We start from the raw sequence: 4,515 nt of genomic DNA on the forward strand, positions 1-4,515 counted from the left end.
TTCCTCTGAGCTCTACACTAGTAAGCTTGGCATCTGGCAACCTGATATCTTTATTTGAATAGACTACAAATATTTCAAACCTAACATGTTCAAAAAAGAATTTCTACCACAAACAACTTCCCAATCCCCACATTCAATTACACTTGACTCAAGTCAAAAAGTTTAGTAAAGCTTCATCCTCTCTTTCCCTCACCCTCCATGTTCATCCCACTAGCACTTAACCCAGTCCATCCATTTTTGTCTGCCTTGACTACCAACCTGGCCTAAACACCCATCATTTCTCACCTGCAAAACTGTAGTAACTTCCCAATGGCTTCTGCTTCTACCCTTGTTCCTCCATGGAACTCTTTTCCTCACCAAGGTGAGAGTGTCCTTCTTTGACAGTAAATCAGATCTTGCCACTTCCCTGCTTAACATCCTTTAATGGCTTTTCATTGTCCTTAGAATAACATCTAAGCTTCTTTTCCATGACTCCTAAGGCCCTGTGCAATCCAGCCCTGTCCACCTCATCCATCTCACCTGATGCCATTGCCACTCACTCATTCACCTTTTTTCAATGACACTGGGCTTCTCTCGTTGTCTCAGCCCTCAAAGTTCTTTCCTGCCTCAAGGTCTCTATATCTGCTACTTCTCTTTTGGGGAGTGTACTCACATACCTTTCACCTATCTATTCATTCTTCGATTTTCATGTGAAATGTCTCCGCAGTAAAGACAACACCAAACCATGTGAACTAAAGTGTTTTCATTCTGCCATCTGACCTCTCCCAACTTTATTCTCTATCTCAGGCCCATTATTGCCTTCATAGCACTGATTACACCCTGCAGTTTTTTTGTCATTTGGTTGTTTTTGTTTTTGTCTTTCTAGAATGTTAGTTCAATAAGGGCAAAAACTGTGTCCGTCTTAATTACCACAGTAATCCCAGAGCTTAGTACTATGCCTGACACAAAGTAGGTGCTCAATAAATGTGTTCAATGTTGAATAAATGTTAATGTACAAAGTTAGTTATGTTCAAAATGGTACAGGAGAGTGACATCAGCCAGATGATGGAGTAGGAGATGCCAACCTCTATCTCCCCACAAAAACTAACAAATAGGCAGATATCCATAAATGAAAATAGCTTTGAGAGGACTTAAGGGTCCAATTAAGAATCTGCAGAATGCAGTAGAGCAAAACGGAAAAGCATAACCCCACAGAAAGGATCACTGGGGAGATCAGCCCATCCAAGACATCTGGAGATGCCTAAGAACAAAGAAGAAGGGTGGGGGCTGCCAGTCTCAGTCACATGGTGGGTGTCACCACAGTCCTCTGTTCTCCAGAGGACACTGGCATATCTCACCACCAAGGTAACCAATGCCATCCTGCTGCAGAAGACCCCCAAGAGAAGGAGCTGCTGCTGTACTTCCTATTTCCTTCCAAGGGGGAACCACTGCCAACCCTCCCAACCCTGCATGTGACCCAGACCCTGGAGCTGCAGCTGCTTCATGTGTGAATGCACTCCAGACCCCAGCTCTGTGGGCACCCTGTGCATGCCCTTGCCTCAAACACCAAAGCTACCACTACTATAGCTAGCTCTGCCACAGGCCTTGAGGACTTGATAGTATAATCCAGAGAGGGTCAAAACATACATAAGATAGCTTTAAAATCTCGTGTTTCATCTTTAATGTGAATTTTACATTACTCTCCAAGATAGCTTTGTGTTTTATGTCAATAAAAAAGAATGCTATCTGTCCTCAGATAAAAGGTGATGCTTTATAAAGATGCTCCATTTTTCTGTCTGTGGCTGCATTTACCCCATTTTGAGATTTGCTCGTGACCCTAAGAGAGCTGGAACTCATCACAGGAATTGAATGTAGAGGACTGAGATCAAGAGAATGTGCAGGTTAATGTGAAAAATGAACTTGGAGACAGAAGAGCTAGATATGAATCTTCAGTTATCCATTTCCTGGGTGACTTTAGCAAAGTCAATTCAATTCTTTGAAATTTAGTTTCCACATCTGAAAAATAGGCCTGCAGGTTATATCTCTCTAAGAGTTGTAGGCTATTGTTTTTTAATCTTTCCAAGCCCTTCTTCCTTCACCTACCTATTTTGAGGACCAGTCTAGTAGTGTGAGATAATGCCCATTCTCCTTGAGAGGATTTAGAAATCAATGGGAACCAGCATAGACTAAGAACTCACCATAGTTCTGAAAACTGAAAACTTGATTATTTTTAAAAATAGTCACTTGTAAACATATTTTAAAATAATTCATAAACTAATAGAATATCTTACATATACTGTGTCTTGATTTTTATAAAACATTTGACAAAGTTTCTTGTGGTACTTTTTTCTTAATTAATAAAAAGCTATTGTTTTATTATATTCCACATTCATATTGAGTGGATTAAAATTCTGGGTGCAACATAAAGTCAAAATAACTGAATAATGTAACATGTTAAAAACATATTTCTGTCCAAAACTTGGGCCATGAGTCACTTTGAAAACAGTTACTGTGGTTTTTTTTATTTATTAGGTAATTTTTTTATTATACTTTAAGTTTTAGGGTACATGTGCACGATGTGCAGGTTAGTTACATATGTATACATGTGCCATGCTGGTGATGAGAGCTAACTTTTCTTACTGCTTAGCTGGCATTGCAACTGGTTGAATAATACTTTGAAAGAGTATTGATTACCAATTCTGAAAAAAGTTCACTTAACAGTGTACCACCAGTCTCTGTAAAAGGCCCTGTCAGATGCAGTATTTTCTATTAATAATATGGAAGAAATATTGTACAGACAAATTATGTATAATTGATTAACACACCAGAGATTCAAAATGATCCTGACAAGCTAGAATATTATATATAAATTACAAAAATAATAATTTAAACAATATTAACTGTAAATTTGTACATTTAGCCTTGGCATAGAAAATTCTGGGCTGCAAAGCAGTTCTGGTTCAATAGATGTGAGTATATAGTTAGTTACAAGTGCAAAATTAGTTGAGGAAAAGTATGGTTGCTTTTGAGCTATCTTGGCTTTAGTTGGTATTAATAGGAGTATTATACCTAGAACACAGGAAATAATAAGTTTAATATCATTTGGCAATGATGAGATAAAATGTTAGATTCTGGAGAAGACTGTAGAAAAAATTAGACTACGTCCTGGAAGAAGTGACTAAATGGCGGTAGTGCTGTTTTATGATCGTTTCAAATAAAAAAAGAAAAGTAAATAAAAACATGGCGGGAGATCTGGAAAACAGAAGGTTGAAAGATGTTCTGGGGATGTGTAACCTGATGAGGAAAGTCTGGGGGGTTGGGGGACATAATCTTCCCAGCCTTTCCAGCTACCTCCAAGCAGAGACAGTAGACGTACTACCTCCCTGACATGGTTTTGCTGTGTCCCCGCCCAAATCTCACCTAGAATTGTCAAAATCCCCACGTGTCAAGGGTGGGGCCAGGTAAAGATAATTGAATCATGGGGTTGGTCTTCCCCATACTGTTCTCGTGGTAGTGAATAAGTCTCACGAGATCTGATGGTTTTATACATGGGAGTTCCCCTGCACAAGCCCCCTTGCCAGCCACCATGTAAGACGTGACTTTGCTCCTCTTAACCTTCAGTCATGATTGTGAGGCCTCCCCAGCCACGTGGAACTGTGAGTCTATTAAACCTCTTTCCTTTATAAATTACCCAGTGTCTGGTATGTCTTTATTAGCAGCATGAGAACAGATGAATACACTCCCCTTCAGGGGATGGGGCAAGGACCTAGGGAAAAGGGGCAGGTAAAGTGGGCTCTAATTCCAGATGAAAAAGAACCAGAAACCACTGAGTAGACTGTCTCCAAAGGCAAATCCTCTATTCACTGGCTGCTTTCAAGAAGAAACTTCATCACTCCGCATCAGGGATTTTGAAGAGGGGAGGATTTGTTCATCTAGTAAAGCTAGATTAAATAAACAATGTGGCTCCTTCCAAACTTAACATAATTTATTTACAAATTATTAAGACAAGAAGCTAAATCATATAGCTACCAGTCCCACACAGTATGCTTATTTTTACAAATGTGAGGTAAGGCAGAAGGTGCCCACAGATGCCTTGTCTCACTATTTGCGTTTTGTAGCAACTATTTTCCTTCAGTCACTATTGCAACCAGATTGAATGTCTGCATGCTTTTACTCCATTAGTGTAGTGGTTAAAAGAGCATGAGCTCTGGAGACAGACCTCCTCTGCTTTAATTTTGGTTTTACCAGTGTGGATTTAGGGCACATTAGCGTTCAAGCCTGTTTCTAATCTGTAAACGGGATAACAGACCCGTTCATAGAGTCGTTGTGAGGATCAACTGAGACAGTCCATGTAAAGCACCTACTGTGGTTCTTGCAACATAGCAAACCCTCAGCAAATGTTACCTATGATTATATTATTAGTAGTAATAGACTGTATGGTTCTTTGCAATGTGGATTTTACTCTTCAACTTTAACTCTCTCCTACTTTAGGGCGTAAATTACTGAGTTTGTCTTGTTAACTGTTCTGCTTCAGGA

Source organism: Homo sapiens, chromosome 14 (assembly GCF_000001405.40).
Source record: "Homo sapiens chromosome 14, GRCh38.p14 Primary Assembly".
NCBI classification, from domain to species: Eukaryota; Metazoa; Chordata; class Mammalia; order Primates; family Hominidae; genus Homo; species Homo sapiens.